A 23812-nucleotide genomic window follows, 5' to 3' on the forward strand; every position below is an offset into this window, starting at 1 on the left:
GACTTTCTCCCGGAACTCTCCTCTCTACCAGCCCTTGTCCTCCATCTTGCCAGACCCCTCAGAAGAAGGCTATCAAGAATCTGGGGACAAGACACTGGAAAAGAGCTCCCTCTATACCTCGATGGAATTAGACTGACATAAGGCAGACCTTCCTGACAGCCAGGGGCATGGAGCTGCACCTGGAGGAAGCCAGGGAGCCCAAGGCAGTCCTCCCCTGGGAGTGCATCCTGCAGGCCTGAGCCTGCAGCTCTCCTGCGGGCCTGTTGCTGGCAGCCTGGTGATCCTTGCCCTCATTACTGGCAGGCTGGGGCCTGGAGGAGCAGGAAAGGGCACAGGTGGGCAGGCTGCAGGCTATAGGTGACCTACCTTGGCTCTGCATCCAGCCAGAGCTTCAATCTGATCTCTGGCAAATTCACAGCTCAATTGAATTCAATAAAACCGCTCCGGAACTGTACAATGCATCATAAATAATCCAACTACAGGATTTTTGAACACTTTAACAAATACAGTTTCTTCTCACATCCTCCATTTGTTTCCCAAATGTCAGCCCTTACACTGAATCTCACAAATCTACAAAAACTTGCATTTTCTAGAACTTTAAATAACTGGATCTTTACCTACAAGGTGAATTATCCCCAAGCGATATGAGCATGTGAGATTTCAAATTTTAGTGATGATTAATGCATGCCAATAGAAAATGAAAATGAAGCTCTTTTAACATGATCATTGAAAGACTTAATAAACATTACCTACATGTGCTCAATAGTAAGAAAGTGAGTTACAGATTATTATATAATACCAGTTTTACATCTGTTTTCAATAGTCCACTAAAGAAATGTCAGATATTTTACCAAGCCCCCACACAGAAACACTGCTCAAGATAGCAGGGTTTTCAAGGTCAGGAAATGAACTACACTGTGTTAAACTCCATCCCCAGAGTCTAGCAAGTGGCAAGCACATAATAAGTGCCATATAAATGTTTGCTGAATGAAGGGGTGAAGTGGCTAATGGCATTTCATTGCATTGTTTATTTTTAAAATTCTAGGTAAAGACCTGCTTCGTTTCCCTACTTGCTTGCTAATCATAGCACATAAACTTATAAACCAGCATTGGCTTAATGGCTTTTGACATGCTAGTGAGTGACTTTACCTCGGTTACATTTTAATTGCTGGTCTTTTTGCTGGTCTTTCTGCAGTGCTAGAACTGGGACATTGCTGATCAACAGAAGATACCCGATTTGCTTAGTAAAGAAGAATTAGGCATTCATAAAAGCTACCCTCTCATCTGCATGTCCACCGAGGGTGAATTATAGCCCACCTGGTTTTCCCAGGGTCCTGAGACCTCACCTCCCCTAAAAACCTTACTCAAAAGAGGCACATCTATTTATCATATCACAGAGGTGCCGTTACAGGGTCCCCCATGGAATCCCCAACTCTTAGAGATGTGCAACCATAGTATGTGGCAGGGGAAGAGAGCAACATGAGTGATTTCCAGGCTTCGGGGGACCTTGCAGAAATCACACTTTTCTCTGCTAGAGGAGAAGCAATACCCTTTGTTCTTGGGTAGAACTTGGTGGCTCGTTTTGCAGGTTATCTCATACAGGCCAAAAGTACATTCTGTGTAGACTGCCGAACTGGATGCTGTAGCAAGGAGCCTTGGTGGAGCGCAAGAGCATCCCAGGGCCCTGAGTCAGTGCCAGGCAGAATCACACAAACTCATTGCATATTCATTCCTCAGATGTTTATTGGCAACTACTATGTACCAGGCCCTCCTCTTGACACTGGGATGCAAGGACCACAAATCCTTGCTCCGGCGCAGCCTGCAATTTAGGGGAAATTGTTCATATGCAAAGAGTATGTAGCAAGTGTTGTCAAGAGTCAATACTCTTGATTTGTATTAACTCATTCAATCCACACAATAACACATTGTGGTAGATTCTGTTATTGCTTCCAGTTTCACATGAGGAAACTGAGGCATGGGGAGATTAGGTTATTTGCCCAGGGTTATGCAACTATTAATGGCAGAGTTGGAATTCAAACCCTGACTCTGCTTCGGAAATCTTCACTTGCAACCACTGCAGTGGCTTTTTGGACCGAGGTCTCGAAGCACTGGGTGACCACATCTACACATGCTGGAGCAGTACTGTAGAGCAAAATGGACATACAATGTGTCGATCAACAGAGTAATATGGTAGGGGAAATTATTTTGACAAGCGAGACTGCGATTTTCCTTAGGAAGAGACACTTAGGGCAACAACAGACGAGTCACGTCAGTCCTCAGGGTAGCCTGGCTCCAAAGCTTCAGAGGAGAGGAATGTGGCTTATATAATACAAGAGAAGCATATGGGGCTCCTGAGACCCTCTGGGAGGATGAAGATAAGCAAAAGAGATGGAGAGAGAGTGGGGAGAGAGAGTGAGAGAGTGAGATGGTGGAAGGAAGGCGAGGCACCGAGTGGTGGTTGACTGTCTCTGAATACTCCATCCAGCAAATCTTAAGGAACATCTATCAATCTTCATGACCAATTGTCATAATGACTGGTCATTGGTGTGAAGGCCGTTGTTATGGTTGGAAACAGAGGAGGACTAAGGTTCACATTGGGAAAGGTGTGGTGCAAGACAGAGGCTGCACTGGCTGAAACCGTAGTTTAGAGAGAAAGGATGCCAGTGGTTTACAAACTCTTGGGGAGATCTCTGAGTGAGCTTTGGACTTCCACTGGCCATGGACTTGAGCAGGGGATTTTCAGGTGATTTTGAAGTAGGAGGTGGGACTCAACTCTGGAGTCAGGGCTCAGACACCGGACCAAATTGAGGACTAGCTAAAACAGGGATGGGGCAGAAGCATGCTTTTCATAAGACACACCCACCGTTGTGCCATGTCAGTTTACCATTGCCATGGCAACACCCAGGAGTTATTGCCCCTTTCCATGGCAATGACCTGAAGACCCAGAAGTTACTACCCTTCCCCTAGAAATTTCTGCATAAACCGCCCCCGAACCTACAAGTAATTAAAAGTAGGTGTGAATATGACTCCCGAACTGCTCTGAGCTGCTAATCTCAGCACACTGCCTGTGGAGCACCCTACTTTGCAGGAGCAGTCACTGAGCTGCACCACCACCAGAGCTGCAACACTGCTGCTTCCATAAAGCTGTTTTCTTCTACCCTACCACCAGCTCGCCCTTGAATTCTTTCCTGGGCAAATCCAGGAACCTTCATGAGCTAAGCCCCACTTGGGGCTTGCCTGCCCTATATCAATTTCACCTAGATCTTAGTGGCCTGTGGCTGAGTTCCAGGTTAATAGTCAGCATGATCACATCAGGTAGACAATTACAAATTTCTCTCTTCATTCTCCTCCCAAAGTTTATTGCCCCCCATGAGTTGGTCTAATAAAGATTGGATATAACAGTTAACCCTAGATTCACCTTGACACCTGGATTCATCTCCCCATCCCACCAGAGGAAGAAGGGATTGTTATCTTGACAAGTGAAACTATCAAAAAAGGAAATACCAGTTGCTCATCTCTGGACAATTATCCCTACAAAACTCACAACTTTTGATCACTTATGTGCAATCTCTTTACATCTGTAAGTGCTTTGAATCCCAACAATAATGCCACAAATTTTTAAGCCCATTTCAAAAAAAAAAAAAAAAAAAAGACAGAGACTCAGAGAGATCAAACGGTTAGCAAGCAGTCAAGTGGGGATACCACCTAGGTCTGCAGGGCAGCAAAAAGGCCACATGCGCTCCCCCAGCTCTCTCTAGTCAGGCAGTGGCCACACCAGAGGTTGCAGGACTTCTCCATGGCTCAGTACCATGTTCTCTGAGCATCAGAACAAATGATTGCCTTGAAACTAATTAGCTGCTCATTCTCAAAACTAATTAATCTTTGTTAAGCTCACTGAAGTCTCACCTTCAATGACTGAAAATACCAAACTTGAGTTCATCATCAAAGACAGCTCCCCAGCAGGAAACATACTCATCTAAATGACTCAGCCTCCTGAGCTACCTGGGCCCTGGTGGGAGAAGGTAGTCTGGCAACAGGCAGAACTGTAATCCACAAGTGTGGAGCAGAGCCAACCCCTGCTTACACAGACTGGAGCTGGGCACACATTATTAAAACATAAGCTGAAAATCACTTATTCTGCTTTAGGTGATTAATAGAGTTGGCTTTTTCCTGGGACATAGAGGCAGCCCTGAGAAATGAGGCAATTATTCCCAGTGAATGGGGATGTTAAGGGACTTGTTGCTAATAGGGTGGTGTGTACAATTTCATGGTTAATTAGTACTTTTGCGGGGAGCACCGCTACATTGCCCAGCCTAAACAGAGTTCCTAACCCTGCCCTCTCCTTGCCTTCAAATTGTTATGAAGTAAACATTAAGGACTGAGGAGATCAAAGAAGCTCTGGGTTAATTGGAACCCAGCAATGATGCTGGAGATGATTTTTGGGTTAATCTCGGAGGAGCCACCTCAGTGCCCTCCATGGTGCAGCAGAAGCACTCAGAGATGTGGTTTCTAGGGGGAAAAAAATGACTTTTAATCAAGACTGCGAAATGAAATTACGTGTCTAATTAGATAGAAACAACCACAAAACCACAAACTAGGGAGCTCGCTGTAATATTGAGCTTCTGTTCTCAGAGGTTAGCAAGAACTTAGGCGTAAACTCTGCTGATGAAGGCATTTGGATTTTTGTTCTCTGGCCGACTGAAACTTCCCAGGAGGAAAATAACGGTTGTTTTGTCCTCATTGGAAACACCTGATGTGGCAATGCGGTGACTGCATTCCCTTTGTCAGCTTCTGCTTTTTGCTCTCCTGGCCCTGACCTCAAGTTCACCATCCTTGCACACAAATGAACATGTGTTCATTTTCCTCACTTTGGGAAGCAAATTCCAGATGCCCAGTGAAGAAGTCAAAGTATTTTGAGGTTCCAGGATCAGAGATCACCAGGAAGGGGCTCTAATTTGCATTTATTTCATTTCAAGTTCATAGGCATACGAAGCAGAGTACCATATTTTTTTTAATAGAGAATAGAAGACATTGACTTCTTTGACCTCTAGAGGATCACTTGAGTGCCCATCTTAGGTAAAAGTAGGGCAGAGAGGCAGCCACTCCCTTGGGATTGTGAGTCTATTTACGTAATTACTTCCTTTGGAGCCTTCAAAACCTTACAGAGGCCTCTAAGAGAAGAGGCACCAAAACTCCAATACCTGCAATTTAATATTCTAAGTTACAGGCACTTGTCAGGGGAGGCCAGAGTGGCTCTTCCAGGCCCAGGAGCAGAGGCATGCCAAAAGATTTGGGAATAAAATCATTTCAAGGAAAAGGAGATCCAGGCTAGGGGCCTGGGCTGAAGCCCCAGCACATGAGGCTCATGGCAACACTCCCAGCTGATGCTAAAGGCCTCTCCCCTCTGGAGCCAGGGTTCTGGGTGAGTGCTTGTGTTTGGAAATACCATGTGAAGGGGTGGAAGCTGAAAATGGTAGATCCACATGGCTTAAAGCCACACTCACTTTTTATTCAGGACACATCCCACTGAAGACTCACCTTATTTATAGTGTCAACATGTAATAATAATAACATTATGGGACACTGGAGGACATGCTGGGAGGTTTGCAAGCTCAAAGGCCCTACAGGCTTTGGCTCTTTGGTTCCTTCCCCTTTCTGAAGCTCAGTCCCTTCTCTACAAAATGGAAATGGTAATTGACCTGTCTCCCAGAATGAGTGCAAGAACTGAAACCAGAAAGAGCCCTTCTATGCATCAAGCCTTGTGCCAAGTTCCTACCTATGTTGTCTTGCTTTCTGTCATTCCATGAGGCTGGAGCTACCACTAGCCCTGTTTCACAGATGAGGAGAGGAGGCTCAGGGAAGTTAAGCAACTTGGTACTGAAGTCATTAGCCAGTAAACGGCAGGACTGAGAAGTGAACTCATGTATTGACAACAGGCCTGTCACCATCACATGATGCTGAGTGTCTGAGCAATTGACCAGGCCTCCAGCAGCCTCTTAAGTGGCAGCCACAGCCTCATCCCCCTCTACTCCTACCAACATACTTTGATTAGATGAGTGGGATGGTGCAGGAGGATCTCTTACACATTGTATTGATCCATATCAAATTGTATCTTGTTAGACTTGACCCAACGTTCCAGCAGTGTAGATATTTTTGACCCATAAAATTTCCTCTTAAAGATATTATTTCCTGAATAAGAATAACTGGTGGAGATGCGGCTACTATATGGCCCAGGAAAAGCCTGGCCTGATTGTGAGATTGGGGGACTGAACTAGAAAGCAAGTCCGGCTATGCCACACCAGGAAGAGACGTGCTTAATCCCTGGATAAGGCAAAGGCTGCTTCTCACTGGCACTGAGAAAATCCAGCCATTACCCAGCAATGGGAACCCTGCCAGAATCAAGGTGACTCTAGATGACATGCATTTTCCAGGGCACTAGGCCTGTCAGTGGTTATGGCTGCATTGCTTGGCTTTGACTACCTCTGGGACCAGATTCATCCATGATTCTTACTTGTCCAAGCCTTTGAGAAATACATAACCTCCTCTTGGAGACATATTTGGGCTCTGCCTGCAACTCACCTCTTCTTCTTCTTCTTTTTGTCATCGTTTAAGCCCAGCAAGCTATTGTCAGTGTTTCTTTAATAGAATGTCTATGTTGCCCCTTCCACAGCTGGTTTGCAAAGGTGAGACTCTCCTCCGTTCACAGGGACACATGTGTGTACATGTTAAACACCCACCAGAGAGCTCAATCTGATTTTCTGATCATCCATCTTTGTCAAAATGTGTGGCAGGCAAAGGAGAAATGATGGCATCCATGCACACACACAAACCCAGGTGTGTTCCTACCAGACTCAGCCAGGCGTGATTCCACAGATGGCTCACAGGGATCACTGGAAAATCAAGTCAATACACTTAAGAGGGGTGACCAAGGAGACAGGGCGTCAGTAACACTTTATAAGAAATGTCTGTGTTTCTAACATTTAGCCACTTAAGCATTTTAAAAGGAGGCACACAATTTCTCTATTGGCAAAACCTACTTGGAATTTACAATGCTCAAAAGTATTTGTAAGAAGTATGTGTGTGTATATATGTAGTGTTTAGTATTAAATTAATAAATAATTTTACACATTTTAAACATTTATTTATTTAATAATGTGTGGATAAGTTTTCAAATGTGTACCCATGGCTGAACTTGTATAAGAACTCTGAAAAACACATGAAGAAATGCTGATCCACTTCTGGTAAGCAAAAACCAGAAAATTTAACAAGAGTGCAGTACAAAATCAATATTAAAAGGTCAGTAATTCTCATAGTCAAACAATGATGAATTTGAAGATTTAGCAGAAGGGGAAAAATTTACAAACCCAGATAGCAAGATAAAATACCTAGGAATAAGCTGACCTTGACTGCATAAATCTATATGAAGTCAGTCTCTTAAATAGCAGCAAAAAAGTGCAAAAAAAGGAATGAAAAACATGGAAAGATACACCAAGTTCTTGGGTAGAACTCAATATCATAAAGATTGGTTTTCCCTAAACTATAATAACTTATAAATGTAAAGCAATTGCAATGGAATGTCAATAGGCTGTGTTTTGGGCACTAGATGAGCTGATTTTAAAACTCTAAAGGAAAAACAAACAATCACAAGAACCAGGAAAAAAAGTTAAAAAAAAAAAAAAAAGAATAGCTGGAGGTGCACAGAGACCTAATCAGACCAAGTATTAAAATATACATATTATTGGGAGGCTGAGGCCGGAGAATCACTTGAACCCAGGGGACAGAGGTTGCCGTGAGCCAAGATTGCGCCATTGCACTCCAGCCTGGGCAACCAGAGTGAAACTCCGTCTCAAAAAAAAAATGTGTATATATATATTTAAAAATATATAGAATAAAGCTACAATAATTAAAACAGTGTGGTACAGACATGTGAAAGACCTCAGAAAGATCAATGAAACAGAATACCATTTCTAGAAACAGACTCACATATACACAAGATTTTAGTATACTATAAAATAACAATGAAAATCAATGAAGAAAAGATAAACTTCCAATAAACGGGATTTAGATAATTATATACCAAAAAAAAAAAAAAACCTTTAACAGGACCTCAGATTTAAACGTTTAAAATGGAACCATAAAAATACTTGTAAGAAAAGTGAGGGAAATATTTTATAACTTTGTACTAGGGAATGTTTTCCTATGAACTAAAATTCAGAAGACATAAAAGAAAAAGGAACCAATGATTTTACCATATATAAATCAAACCCTGTTTCATGAAGGGAAAAGGCAAAAAAAAAAAATCAATGAACTGGTTCAATATTTTCAACACATGCCAAAAATCAAGGTATAAAACCCCTGCTATAAAGATTTCCCAAAAATCAGTAGAAAAATAGGCAAAGTACATGAACACATGTCTCGCAGAAAATGAAATACAAATAACTCCTGAGCATGTGATAAGATGCTTAATCTTGTTCAAAAGAGAAATGCAAATTAAAACTGTGCTCTCATACTATTTTTATCCATCAGATTGGCAAAAATCCAAAAGTTTGATAACGCATTCTGTTGATAAAACTATGGAAAAACAGGCACGCTTATACATTGCTGGTGGGAATATAAATTGGCACAACCCTTCTGGAAGAGAATTTTGCAGTATCTACCAAAATTACAAATGCAAAAATCCTTTCACTCTGCAATTCCATTTTTATGTATTTATCTTTATAGATACACTTGCAAAAATGCAAACTGACCTAATTGCAAGATTATTCTATGCAGCACAATTTTTCATAGCACAAGAATGGGTGGAATCTAAATGTTATCATTAGGAAGCTGGTTAAGTAGGTTATGGCACATCTACACAATAAACTACTGTGCACCTGAGAAAAATAGGCAAGCCTTTCTAATACGGAAATACCTCTTAAGACGTGCTATGGAATAAAAAAAAATCAATGTGAAGAAAAAGTATACATAGCATACCTGTATTTGCATACAGAAGTGAAGGAATGTGAATTTATACTCTTATCTGCTTATAATTATTTTAAAAATCTAGAAAATCCCCCTCTAAAAAATTAATAATATATTTATCTGAGGGAGTGGGGAGGGGTGAAATAGAGTGAAGCTTGGGAGAATTTTTACCCAATACCTTTTTACACTGTTAATTTTTGAAACTTTTCAAAAATTAAATGAATATGTTAAAGTTATTTCTTCAAAGACAGATGATGTCTGTGGCCCTACCACCCTGAACACGCCTTGTCTCCTCTAATCTTGGAAGTTAAGCAGAGTTAGGCCTGGTTAGTACTTGAATGGGAGACTGCCTGGGAATACCAGGTGCTGTCGGCTTTTTAAATGAATAGACAGATAGATACATATGTTTAAAAAAAATGAGATAACTAAATGTTAATGGAACAGATCACAGAGAACACAAAAATAAAAGAAACTCTGGTACTACAGAGATAAAGAACAAACATAGAGAAGAAGAATGGGAAAGGGAGTCAAACTCTGTGGAACTAAAGCAAAGTGCTAGAGGCAGATAATTGGGATTGTGAAGGAATAAGGCATACAATTATACACCACAACATGTTTGAACTATTCATATACATTACATAAAACTAATATGTATGTGCACACATATGCAGATTTCATAATTCAAAACATTTCAATAGGCAATGAATGCCCTTTGTCCCCAGCAATTGTAGATCTAGAAATCTTTTTAAAGAAAATCACTAAGAATGTGCTCAAAGACAGGTACAAAGCTGTACCTCACACACAAATGCTCAGAAACAGGTGATTAATTTAGTAAGTCATGGCCTCCCATACGATGGAATGCCAAGGCACCAAATTTATGCTGCAGCATATTTAGTGATACAAAAAGATGTTTACCCTCCGCTGCAAAGGTATACACTAACATATTCACTGCAGTTATCCCAGGGAATGGGGTAATGGATGACTTTTATTCTTTTTGCACATTAATATTTTCTAATTTTTCTACAATTAATATATATTCCTTGTGTAATAAAAAACAAAAGTTATTTACAAAGAAAAAAGAAAAAGCTGAGCTTTGTTGATTGATATCTGAGATAGCTACTCTCGTGGACATCTACTTGTCTCGATTCTTTGCTCCATTTTTTTTTGTTTTTTTGTTTTTTTTTGAGATGGAGTCTCCCTCTGTCACCCAGACTAGAGTGCAGTGGCGCAATCTTGGCTCACTGCAACCTCCGCCTCCCTGGTTCAAGCAATTCTCCTGCCTCAGCCTCCTTGAGTAGCTGGGACTATAGGCATGCGCCACCATGCCTGGCTAATTTTTTTTGTATTTTTAGTAGAGATGGGGTTTCGCCGTGTTGGCCAGGCTGGTCTCGAACTCAGGAGATCCGCCCGCCTCGGCCTCCCAAAGTGCTGGGATTACAGGCATGAGCCACCATGCCTGGCCTTTACTGCAATATTTTTAAAACTGTGCTATGGTGAAATCCAAAAGCTTTCCTCAGAGGCTTTCCTCAGGGGCTGCTGAGGGCAAGAGAGACAGGGAAAGGGGAAAGATGCAGGATTTGAGGCTGTCCTCCACATGCTGGCCCCCATCCCTACACAGACACACACACACTTACACATGCATGGGCACACACATGCTCATATGTGTGCATAAGCACATGCTCACACACGTGTGCACACATGCACACACACGTTTACACACATACACAAGCTCTCTTACACACACAGTCAGCCAGAGTAATTCCACTTTCCCATGTTTTGTAAATAGGCCTTCTGCCTAAAATGGAACCTTAATAAAGGAGTCTGTAGATGGAAAAAAAACACAAATACTATGCCATGAAGTTCTGTCCTTATGCCTAGTCCAGGCTCCAAAAAGCCACTTAACTCTCATGACCCCCTGAAAATGCCTTCTCAGAACTCATATAGTAAGCCAGAAGTGTTATCATCCCAGGCAGGCAAAAGAGCAACTCTGAAGGCCCAGAGTGCGATACCACAGGACTCACAGGGAGGCAGAGAGCAGGCTTTTCTGTCTACTCGAGTTGGGGCTGGGGGTTGGGGTGGGTAGCACCCAGCAGGCAAGGTGAAACCAGAGTGGGCATCAGAGACAAGAGAAATTCCTGGAAGGGAGTCAAGCCCCCTCCAGCTGATGCGGTTGGTCTTTGAGAATATGCTGACCCTCTTCTCTCATCAAAGATGACTTGTTGCTGGATTTAGGCAACAAATTTAGGCTGATCTTCCCCTAACTCTAAAAGAAGATCAAAAGCAGTGTCCTGCCAACCCCCTTCTGGGTGAGGGCCCCTCACTTATCCACAGCTTTCCTCCCTGGGTGTAAAGGAGAGAGCAGTGTGCCCTGCAAAGGCTCAGGCCAGAGGGACTTCTCATTTTGGCCCCTGGCTGCATAAAGTGGCTGACCCTGTGTCTAGCTCTGCAAACTCTTAAGTGTAATAATAACATAATAGCAGCTATCTCTTAATGTGTTTTCACTATCAAGCACTATAAGAACACAATCTTATTTAAGCCTCACAGCAAGGATATGAGGTGGTGTAGAAGATTCACTGTAAAAATGGTCCCACTTCCCAGTCCTCTCTGTATCCCTGCTCTTGGCCATGTGACTTTGCAGCTTCTCCCATTAGGGGGTGGGGTCTACATTTCATCCCTTGACTTTGGGCAGATATTGTGACTTTCTTTGGCCAATAGAATGAGGCGGAAGTGACGTGCCACTTCTGAGCCTAGATCTCAAGAGCTCTTGCCCATTTCCACTCACTCTCTGGGAATCTTGCCATTTCCATGAGAATGAGCCTGGGCTAGCCTGCTGGGGATGGAAGACCATGTGGAGAAAAGCCACATGAGCCAAGGCCACCCTCAACCAGCCAAAACTTAAGCTGACCACAGACATCAGTGACCTCACCCACGATCAGCCAAGCCTGACCCAGGAAAGCAAACCTACCCAGCTGACGTGTAGTATCACGAGAAATAAAACGTGGTTGTTGCCTAAAACTGCAAGTTTGGGGAGAGTTACACTGCATTATTATGGCAATAAATAACTGGATACAGGTGAGTACCATTATTGCTGCTAAACTCAAGTTGAGAAAGAAACTTTTCTGTTATGGATTGAATGTTTGTGTCCCGACACCCAGAATTCATATGTTGAATCCTTAACCACCCAGTGTGATGGTATTTGGAGATGTAGCCTGTGAGAGATAGTTAACATTAGATGAGGTCATGAGGGTGGGGCCTTCATGATGGGATTAGTGCTCTTTTAAGAAGAGACCCCTGTAATCCTAGCACTTTGGGAGGCTGAGGCAGGTGGACCACTTGAGGTCAGGAGTTTGAGACCAGCCTGGCCAACATGGTGAAACCCTGTCTCTACAAAAAATACAAAAATTAGACAGACATGATGGTGCACGCCTGTAATCCCAGCTACTCAGGAGGCTGAGACAGGAGAATTGCTTGAACCCAGGAGGCGGAGGTTGCAGTGAGCCGAGATTGTGCCACTGCACTCCAGCCTGGGCAACAGAGTGAGACTTCATCTCAACAACAACAAGAAGAAGAAGGAGAAGGAGAAGGAGAAGAAACGCCAGAACCAGAGAGCCTGTGCTCTCATTCTCTCTCTCTCTCTCTCTCTCTCTCATGTGAGGACACAGAAAAGAGGCAGCTGTCTGCAAGCCAGAAAAAGAGCCCTTGCCAGAAACCAACAGTGCTAGTACCCTGATATCGAACTTCCCAGCCTCCAGAAATGTGAGAAAAACAAATTTCTGTTGTTTAAGCCACCCAGGCTATGGTATTTTGTTATGGCACACTAAGCAGACAACGTCTCACAGCTGGTAGGTGACAAAGTTAGATTCCAAAGCTTAATAAGGAGTTCACAGCTTCCTGCCCAGCCTCAGGGCTGTGACCAGAGCAGGTGGACTCCACTCCACTTCAAATTTCTCAGCCACACCCTTGGGGCTGCCTCCTGCCTTGAGTTGTCCCAGAATCCTAAATGTTCTAGGCACATGGAATTCCAAGGCTGGAAACAGACTTGGAGGGCATTAACTCCAACTTCCTGGTTCTATAGATGATGATGCTGAAGACCAGATGATTCAAATGAATTGGCCAAGGTCAGACTGTATAGAAAGGCAAAAGAAATGTTGCAACAAAGATCTCCCAAGGAAGTGCTCATTTGTCCAAACCAAGCTGATCTGCTTTTCCAGGTGTAATAAGAACAAGGAAGAATTGTCCTTCAAGAATTCTCATCTCATTTCCAACCCGTGTCCCAAGGGTGCCAATCTTGAGTTCCAGAAGCCAGAACTCTTAGGATCTGCTTATGAATTCCTACTCCCACCTGTCCCCATTCCCAAACCCTTCCCCATAAATCAGACTGCCGAGCCACACAGTTAACATAGCACAGACAGATGGTAGGACCTGGGTGTCTCCTTTACAGCCAAAGAAATGAAGTTGCTTCCGCCCACCAGCATCATTGAGGCAGCAGCTCCCTGCATGCAGCAGACAGAGCCCCCAGGTCACACGCACAGCCTCTGCAAAGCCACGTGGTGGATCTTATAGCAGAGACTGTAGCTTAAGGAGGCTATTTGGCTGTTGCCCATACATATGGCAGCCTGGCAGGCCCTTCCAAGGGCTTGAAAACCACATAGCAATCAGGAGCCCCTAGGGCCTCGGGCCCATCTGCAGTGCAAAGACAGAGCCTCATTTGAGATGCCACGAAGCATCAGAAGATGCCTTGTGCTTCCTGCAGAGCTGGCGAACTGCCCCTTGCCTGGCTTTAGACTGTGGTAGAACTCTTAGCGAAGGTGAAGTTCCTTCAGCACATCCATAAAGGGCTGCTGTCCCTGGGACTCAGGCTGCATTCCAACTAACAAGACATGGTCCTGGCCCTCGAGAACCCTCCAGTGAGTGGAGAGGACTCTACAGAGGTTTCTACAGGGTTGTGAGCCCACAGAGAGGGCAACTAATCCTGGCTTGGAGAGAGAGACAGAGTAGAAGGAGCATTAAAGAAACCTTTTCAGAGAACAGGACATTTGGGTCTTCAAGGAGATCCCTCCTGCAGTCACTTCTCTGAAGATTTCACAGAAGTCACCTAGGATTCAGGTCAGGAATGAGGTGGATGAGAACTCTGCCTTCTGTGGTACCACATAGTAACCTCCCAGATGTGCCAGGTTCCCCAGTGTCTGGGATGACCTTCTTCTGCAATGGCCAGACATGGCCTGTATCCCCATCCTGCTTAGTGCAGCTGCACTGCATCAACCAAGCCATGGCTCTTCTCTGTTCTTAAATAAAGATGATAACCTTTGACGACACCCTGCAGTCTCAACCTTTGCCTACTCCATTGGCCCTCGGGTGTTCACTGTAGCCTTCCCTTGCTGGGTTCCCAACATCCCAATTTCCTTCAGTTCCTCGACTAACATCCCTCAGCACAGAGGGATCAGTTTTCCCACTTGGTTCAGTTTTCCCACTCTCAGGTCTCACCTCAAGGACCACTGCCTCAGGGAAGTCTTCCCTGACCCTCCAGTTTCGGGCCATTTCCTCAGTTACTCCCTCTCAGAACCACATCTCTTTCTTTCTCCACACTCTAATGCATCTTGACTTTATTCTCCTGGCCATGGAACTGTTTAGTTAATGTCTGTCTTTCCCACAAGTCAGTAAACCCCAGGAGAGTAGGAGCCATGCCTGCTTTGGCTTACGCATGCATGTTGATTATCTAACACTATGCCAGGCATGCGGTGTGCGCTCCAGAAATGTTCGTGGAATTCTAACTAGGAGTTTTGCCTTGGGAAATGGAGGATCCATTGTGTCATAGGTTAGGTGTCCCCAGAAGCAGATCTTGGGATCAAAATTTGAGTAGAAATCAGCTTTGGGGAAGTAAAACCAGAAAAATCTGATATGGAAGTGGGGAAGAAAGGGAGGAAGGAAGGGAGAGAGGAAGGGAGGAAGCTGGAGTGCACAAATGAGACCCCTGGGCCCCCCTTCCTCCCCCAGCCCTCCTATGGAAAGGAAGAGAGAAAGCAAGAGGCTGGATGGAACACTTGTGTGCAGAACAGGTCAGGTAGAAGCAAGGTAGAACTCAGCTCATTTCTGTGTGACCTTCTAGTTGGTTTGGATGGTTCCGGCCCCAGGTTCCAGGCATGCTGACATGAGAGCTATCAAGTCCAACCTCTCCATGTTCATTACAACTGGTTCCCCATTAGCCCACAACTTCAGCTTCTCCAGTACAGTGATCTTTTAAGATAACTTTCAGCCCACACTCCTGAGTCCCAGAAATACCAAAACTGGCTGATTAAACTAAAAGGTCCAACTCACTCTCTCCAGAGAAAGAAGTGACACATTGTATAGAGACAATGACCACAGCTCGAAGTTCTGGGCATCCATGTACCTTCATTTCCTGAGCCCATCAGATCTGTGCAAAATGACAGAAACTGACATCTGCCAGAGACCTGCGGGAGGGGATTCAAGACCCAAGAAGCAGGTCAGGATGTTAAGATGCCACCCTTCATCTTCCATTAAACTTCTTAATCTGCAGGCACCATGAACTCAGCCAAACATGCAGCAAATATTTTCTTGAGCACCCGCTGTGTGTCTGGCACCATGCTCAGCATGGGGATCACAGCTGTGAAGGGACACCAGGTCCCAGCCCTTGAGGAGCTTATAATTTAGGGGAGGACACATGCATCAATCAAATAATCACCCAAATGCATGCTAAACTGCAGCTGGATAAACGCTAGGAAGAACAGGTACTGGGCCCTGTGAGGACATAACACTGGGCAGCAGATGGAGTTTGAGCAGGGATGACTGATCTCATCTAGGGACCAGAGGAAGTCACCAGAGATGGATATGAGCTCATGAGGAGGAGGAGGCAGGGGAAAAGCATTCCAGCAGAGGAAGCAGCACGTGCAAAGCCCTTGAATAAGTCATGACAAAGCGGACCCATGGAGGATGAGGATCCATGTGGTCTCAGACAAGGCAGGCAAAGGGAGCAGGTGCGGCTGGTCCACAAGCGTTCTGAGTCTCGCTGTGTGAGTGGATATCAAGAGGTCTTGCTTGTCAGGGGCCTGATTACATCATGAGTGAGAGAGGGTAGACAAAAGTAACCTGCAGGTCACTCCTTAAATGCAAAGATGGTAAAGATACAGTGGGGCTCAGGAAGAGAAAAGAACTGTCTTCAGTTCGCACCTACTATGTGCCAGGCATTCTGCCATACACAGGTATTTATGAAATCCTTAGATTTGCGCATTCATTCAATGTAACAACAATTACCTGTGGAGCCACTGCTACTCTCTGTGACCAAGCAAAAGGCAAAGGTAATTTTTTTTCCAAAATCATCCTTCAATAAGAAGAGTGAGTGAACTTATATTCAAATTCCTGACAAACTCTCCTGTTAAAGGGCAGTTCTCTCATTTACTTTATTTTAACCAACAAAGTACCATTTGGGGAAAAAACATTAGCCTGAAATGACCTCAATCAATGCTAGTTTTGGATGCTCATAAGAGTTTGCTTGATGGAATCGTTAAAAGAGAAGGCAAAGATATTTAACCCCTATTTAATAATTATTCCTGGGTTTGACCTTAGAATTACAAGCTGGGGATGTTGTTCTAAACAAGTCTTTTACAAATCACTTTAAAAAGCAATATCAGAAGTAGTTACACTATGAAGATCATAGATATATACCTAAAGAAAAAAATGAAAATAAAAAAAACACTCTCCTAATATTATGCAAACGAGTATACGTAGCTTGTGATAAATTCTCCAGTGACAGCATTTTACACAAAGCCACAAAGTGTTGGGTCTCAAACAACTATGATGGAAGTGGAGATTCTGTGCCCTGGAAAATTGTGTTCAATGCTACGCACAGTGGCTCTGGCAATGATGGGGCCTGGGAAGGCTTTGAATAAAATTGCTCCATAACTGCCAGAAGGGGAAAAAAAGCAGATTTCTAAATTAAATACTATTTTACATGGCATGGGAATTTAAATATGTATGTGTAACTAAATTAATAAATCAAATGCTACAAATAGACATAAAGTCTTTCATCTGCTTCCCTAAGAGTTTTTATGTTCAACTACAAGTTGACCCCCTCCCCTAAATATAGGATTTCCCCACTGGGAAAATGCATAAAGCACTTTCTATTAGGAGATGTTCTGTATTCCAGCATTTATAGGAACTAGCTACAGGGGCGAAGTGGGAAGCTTGCCCAATTCTACCCACAAGATAGATCTGAACCCACCAGCCAGAGCACCCAATGTGGGCACCCAGACTTTGGAGGGAGCATATCCCCAGTATATTGGTGAGAGATCACATCCAGGGAGGCCTTGGAGGCTGAGCAGCTCAGGGGCACAGGCACAAAAGTCACAGCCAGGATTATAGCCCCATCTGCCCCGCTCTAAAGCCCGGGTCACTTAACCATGTCAGGTGTCCCCGGGTGTCGGATGCTCCACCACAGCAGGGCGCTGGCCTGGACTGGTTTCAGCACATGAACAGTGCTCCTGAGTTTGTGGGGAACAGAACCTCAGGCTGTGTCTCACTCAGTCCCTCCAGAGGACACGGCACCTAGTCCAGGCTCAAGACTCCAGCCTCCAGGCCACAGCTACTGCACCATGGCCAGCAAGCTCCTTGGATGCCTTGTACTCTCCATAGACTGGTCCCCTGTCCACAGGCAGCTCCCTCCTTGACAGATGTCAAGGCCTCTGGGTATCCACCTCCCAACAGAGCTGGCAGGCACTAGCAGATCAGTTGACTCTACAATGCGCCCCTTTCCAAAGAGAAGGCAGAGCAGCCTCCACCCCGCAGGACTCCCTATGCCTCCCCAGTTGCCTGCACCATCCTTCTAGTGGTCTCTCTCACCTTGGCCCCCATGGCACTGGCCCTTCCTGGTGCCTCCACTATCCTTCTCCCACCCCCACCTCCTGGGGGTACTCTACAGGCTTCACTTTCCACTCACATCTGCAGCACTGGCATCTTTCTCTGCAGAGCTCAGGACCCTCCAATCCAATTACCTTCCAGCAGCTCCGAGCAGCTCCACCACTTGAATTGCCAAAGGCAGCTCAAGAGAACCAAATAACAACTCCCAGCTCCCACTATAGTTCCACGTCTGCAGGGCACTGCAAAGAATCCCTCAAGCCTTGGCCTGGCCTCTGACTCTTCCCTCTTCCCTGGCCCCTTCCCAGGAAGGGATCCAGAGAGGATCCTGTCTGTCTAGGACTCCCTTTCCATTGTGAAAGCAGCCACCTCCCAGTAGACATCAGCTTCAAAATAGCAGCCCTGCCGTCTGGCTCGCCCTCTCCAATCTGTCCTGCTCACCACTGCCAGGTTCCTATTCCTCAAAGAAAAGCCAGTGAGATGCAGTCAAGACCCCTCTCCACTCAGCAAGGTGAAGCAAAGCCTGGCACTGTGATTCCAGATGGCTGCTGCTCCCCCAGACCCCTCTGGAGGTCCCCATCATGCAGGACTCACCTGCCTCCCTCAGACCCAGCCTGCTTCTGTCCCTCCTGCCAGTGCTCCAAGGGCCATCCCTGCATGCTCAGGCTTCACCAAGACTCCTCCTGCAGGAATCCACCTGGAGTGCTCCCATTCCCCAAAGGCCAGATTCACCTCTCTATGTCACGAGCCTGTTCAACCTGCCTTATTTTGTTGTTGTTCTGTTTGGTTTTGTTTTGGGCTTTTAGCAGGCTGAAGCAGGGGTTCTTAATTTCTTTCTCTAGTGATAAGCAGAAAAGAGATGAGGAAGCAGCTTTACTGGCCCAACCAGAAATAGAAACTAAGAGCCCATGACTGTATTCTCTCCCTTAGACACCCCTATGGACATCAGAGAAAGCACTCAACAGGCTGAGCGACAATCCTGGCTTTCCCACAGTCTGCAGATGAGCCCACCATCTGTTCTGTGCTTTCGCTTCTCCAACTGTGCAATGGGGATAGCAACATTCTGGTTAAATGAGGGCAAAACTTTGTTGTGCTTTGCATCTTACCCCCGGCACCTACCTGGGGCTCTTATTCAGAGAATGGCTTTCTGGCTCCTGGAGCCATGTTGCCCGCAGGCAGAGAGGCCTGGAAGGGCCTGAGCATCTCATACACACACACAGACACACACACACGCACACTTAAGATGAGGGTGAGGGTATGATGGCCCAGCTCCCTTTGCCTCGGGGACATTCCAGGGTGTAACTCACCCCCCAGAGCACCCGGAGCTCGGTCTGACATCTAGGGGTCTTCTCCGGAGGTCCCACTCAGATTCGCTTCCACCCCTGCTTCTGGCCCTTCCCTGTCCTGTTTTCCCCACCCTTCCCAGACTCCTCTGCGAGCACCTTCTTAGGAAAGACTTGTACCAGAACCCTCATTTCAAGGTCTGCTTGGAAGAAGCCTGCCCTAGACAAATGCCTACCTTGCTGCACTGTCATGGGGAGTCTGTGTAGGAATACAAAGTACCTGGTGGAGTCCCCACCATGATTATTAGCTCCCAGAGCCATCGCCACTATGCCAGTCACCAGCTTCACTCATATCCCACCAGTCATGTGCTCTCACCTACCCTTCCAGACCGTAAGCTCCTTGAAAGGGGAGACTATGGCTTCCACATCTGTGTGAACCCCATGCCCAGCACCCGTCTGGCACAGGCAGGGCTGTTGTGGGTCCTGTGGCCGTGGCTGACCACATGCCCAGGGCTAACAGCAGCCTCTCACTGGGGCCCAAAGCTTTCCCTCACTATCGCTCACTGGGGACAGATCAACAGGACCCCTCTCCCCTTGCCTGAGCATCTCCAAGGTCTTCAGGGTGGTGGGTCCTACCCAGAACTTGGGAGGGACCCACTCTGGGATGAATACAGGGGTCCGTTCAGGAATCTGTCACAAGCCCCAGCCCAGGAAGAGAGACAGGATGGAGCCTCCACCTCCACCCCACCTGGCACCCATGTGTCTTCACTACTGAGGGCAACAATGCCACTCCCTCTTGTCAGAGGCAGGACAACTGAGGCAACTGCCCTGGAACACACTTATCAAAAGCAAGGAGAAAATAAAGCCTGAAGTCCATATGCTTGTGCTCAGGTGGAAATGGTGAGTACACACAATGTACATAAAATTGACAAAGTAATAGTGGAAAACCCACAGGTGCTAGAGAAACATACGCCAGCCGCTGGGAAGCATAAAGGAGCTCATGGTGAACTGGACAATGGAGAACATGGACTGATGGGAAATGCCAGAACGGGAACCTGAGAGGGCCCAGAGAGAGCAGCCTGCACTTCTCCAATAACTACAGTGCCCAGACTCCAAAAAGGTTATTTCAAAACTGGGCAAGTGTGCAACAGTGTAAGATACATCTTATCCTCAGCATCATGTTTCAGTAAAAATGAATTGGAAAAGCATCCAACAGTACCAGATGCTTAAATAAATTATGAATAGAACCATAATGTGCTTAACCAATCTGCTATTGTAAGATATACTTTGCAGCTTTTAGAAATAAAAATGTAAGTGAATATATATTGATATGGAAGACTTCCATGATATACTGTGATGTGAAAAGTCAGACCAAAGAAGAAAAAGTAGGAATACTTCCATATTTATAAAATAAAGGATACATGGAACTTTGTAGAAAGTCTAGAAAGAGGGTCAACAAACTCAACTCAGGGGCCTGTTTTTATAAATAAAGTTTTATTAAAGCACACCCATATGCATTTGTTCATGAACTGTCTGTAGCTACTGTCAGGCCTAAGTATAGAGATGAAGAGTTGCAGCAGAGACCATATATGCTACAAACCAACGCTATTTACTACCTGGCCCTTTAAAAAAGAGTGTGTCAACCCCCGATCTAGAAGAAGAGATACAAAGATATTAATGATGTTTATCTCAAGGTACTGGGAACTTGTGTAATTTTAAATTGTTCGTTTTTTTTCCTTTATGGCTGTTTATATATTTATGTTTTCTCTGCCATGATAATGTATAATCTCCTAAAAAGCACATAGCTTAGAAAAACAATCTATTGGCCTACTTACATTAAAAATAATTTTATCAATGTTCACAAACATTTTTCCCATTTTATAGCTGAGGAACAGAGTTTGAGAAAGTTCTAGCAACTTGCCCAAAGTGCACATGAGACCCAGCCTGAGTCTGTCTGATCCAAAGACCCTCTCAGGACAAGATGTTGAGCACAACGTCTGTGATGAAAAAAGGCCTCCTGGTTCCTCTTCTGGGGAGACAGGGACAAGAGGTCCCTCCCCTAAGGGAGGCACCGCTGCCTCACAGAAGCTGGCCTGGAAGGGATGCAAGTTACCAGAGGTGCTAGGCATCAGAACTCCGCATGGCTCCCTGAGGGCACAGTGCCTGCCTCAGTGTGCTGGGCCAGCTGCAATGGGTATCAAATGTTTCCTCCATCCCAGAACACAGAGGAACCAAGGTTGGTAGGCAAAGCTGGCCATGCTGGAGTCAGAAATCAAATCTAAACCTTCTCCAAGCTCCATGGGCCCTTCCCTGCTACCTCTCACCTCTCCGACAACTCCTCCTTTCCACTCCCCAGTACCCAGCAACCATGATGCTCCAGCCAATCAGAAAGCCTCACACTTCCCCACTCAGAGCATCTTATTCCAGGCATTTGCACCTGTGGATTCCTTTGCATAAAAGTCCTTTCCCTCCCCAGCTGCCTGGAAAATTCCTATTCATTCTTTAAAAGAAAGAAGACAAACTGAAAACTCGCTGGCCACATGAAGCCTGCAAATGCATTTCCTCAGACCCATGTGGCATCATAAAAATAACATTTTATATTAAAAATTGAGATTCCCATTCTTTCCAGACTGAGCAGAAAATCTAGTAACGCTCATCCCACATTACCATGTAGCAGCCAGAGGCTGTGGCTCAGGAGCAGCTGTTCTCTTTGCACGGGGTGCATGCTTCCCACTTGGCTGAGCACCCCACTAGGGCCACCACCCGGCCTCCCTCACTGGCCTCCATAGACATCTATCTGAGATTGCAACCCTCTGGCAATCCTCTGGCACAGTGGTTCTCCAAGTGTGCTCCTGGACCAGCAGCGTCAGCATCACCTGGAAATGTGCTAGAAATGCAAATTCCCAGGTCTGTCCTAGATCTACTGAGTGAGAAACTCCAAGGTTAGAGCCCAGAAGTCTGTGCTGCAGCAAGCCCTCCAGGGGATTATGATACCTGCCCCTCTGAGAACTTCTGCTGCAGCTCTGTGGACTCTGGTCCAAGCAGCAAGGCCAATCTGTGCCCTCTGCCACCCTTCTCTACCTCATACCCCCATCCTTCCGGCCTTGGCTCCAGCACAGCTGAGTCCTGGGCCAGCTCCCAGCCACATGCATTCAAATTCTGTTGCATGCACTCCCCTGCCCTGTGGCCAGGTGCTCTTTACCTGTCTATTTCCTAGCCAGTGGGATCTTTTGGGGCAGGAGCTATTTCTGATTCCTGCCTCCCTAGCACCTAACACAAAGCCAGGCCCTTAGTCAGGGCTCAGGAACTTCTGCAGAATTAAACTAATTCACTTGGTGATTATTTATACCCCTCTAATTTGGAGCAGCAAGACTGACCACGAGGCAGCCTCAGCCCTCTTATGTCTGGCATGACAAGGATGGTGACAATCAAATGCTTGCAGCTCCAAGGAGAAGTGATATTTCAGCAGAAGATGAAGTAATTCCTATTCAAAGCATCTGTTAATCACTCAAGATCCTTCTAGATGTGAGGGGCTACAGAATGAAAGGTGTTATTAATGAAACTGTACAGACTGGGAGGCAGTTCTGAATAGCAGCCCTCCTTCCTAACAATGCCTTTCCCTGCAAGTTAATCCCCTGACATTATTTTAAATTCTTCAAGTGCTGGAGAAGTCATGTAAGTTGTTTTCCTGAGTAGTCACTTAGCTGACAAGCATTTTCTAATTGACAGAACATTCTGAAAAGACAGATTAAAGAGGGGGAAGAGCGGTATTAAGATGGTGCAATTGCCCACACATAGCAGGAGGCTGAGTTGACTGAAATGTAAGACTCGATTCGGAAGAAAGTTATTTATCACATCCCCCAGCCCGGCAGCCCCTTCCCAGAGAGACGAATTCAGGGATGTTGCTCCACGGTGGCTCCGACCCAAGGACCTGCCAGGAGGGACTGCACACATCCCACAAGCTCAAACCCAAGCTGGGAGTTGAAATCCAGGAGTGATAATAAGAACTGTTACTGACAGTTGAGCAGCTAATATGTGTCTAGAATTTTCCAATGGGCTGTGTGCCAGGGGTATTACAATTTTTAGCCCTAAGAGAGGACACTCATCCCCATTTTCCAGATGAGGAGACTGAAGAATGCACCCAAGTACCCAAGTTCACACAGTTTATAAGTGGCAGAGCTGAGGGAGGTCAAACCCAAGTTTGTATCCTGGCTCTGCCCATCATGCTATGGAAGCTCAGCAAGTTCCTTAACCTCTGAGTCTCTGGCCCATCAGCTGCAAAACTGGGTCCACAATACTCTTGCAGGTGTGATGTGATATAATGTGATATGCTCAGCAAATGATAACTCAGTTAACAGCCTCTGAAAGCAACACTCTTCTGCAAATTCAAGCCATTGCCTAAGTTAGGAGGCTCTGTGTGCTCTTTCCTGTCATCAGGCCACCTCCTCCCCTTTAAGGAAATGTGCCTAGATGTCACTGCAGAGTGGCAATGGGCTTAGATGGCAAACACCAAGAGCCACAGCCCAGAACGCTTGGTAGGGGCCGCGCCGGCACAAGCATCCCATAGGTGCTGGTAGGGCCTGGGGCTTTCCGCGGGCCACTGTCACACCTGTCATGAAGCCCTTGAAACTACAAAGCCTCCAGATAGGACTCACCTATCAATCACCCCTTCCTTAATAGCGCATAGAGCTGATGGAATC

General features: G+C 45.5%; 1 protein-coding gene and 1 pseudogene across 1 annotated transcript in view, besides 1 other annotated feature; one reads left to right on the plus strand and one right to left on the minus strand.

The window, feature by feature from the left end:
- GRID1 (glutamate ionotropic receptor delta type subunit 1) overlaps nt 1–23812 on the minus strand; it is a 767244-nt gene that overhangs the window by 443679 nt on the left and 299753 nt on the right. The gene's annotated exons all lie outside the window — the stretch shown is intronic.
- On the plus strand, nt 9218–9336 carry RNA5SP322 (RNA, 5S ribosomal pseudogene 322; annotated as a pseudogene).
- Nucleotides 15326–15532: a silencer, noted in NCBI's record as "fragment chr10:87818313-87818519 (GRCh37/hg19 assembly coordinates)". NCBI's record gives its function as "represses an EF-1alpha promoter that drives an FKBP-Casp9 reporter gene in an ReSE screen in K562 erythroleukemia cells {active_cell/tissue: K562}" and the evidence as "EXISTENCE:reporter gene assay evidence [ECO:0000049][PMID:32094911]".

The sequence above is a fragment of the Homo sapiens genome, chromosome 10, assembly GCF_000001405.40.
Source record: "Homo sapiens chromosome 10, GRCh38.p14 Primary Assembly".
NCBI lineage: Eukaryota > Metazoa > Chordata > Mammalia > Primates > Hominidae > Homo > Homo sapiens.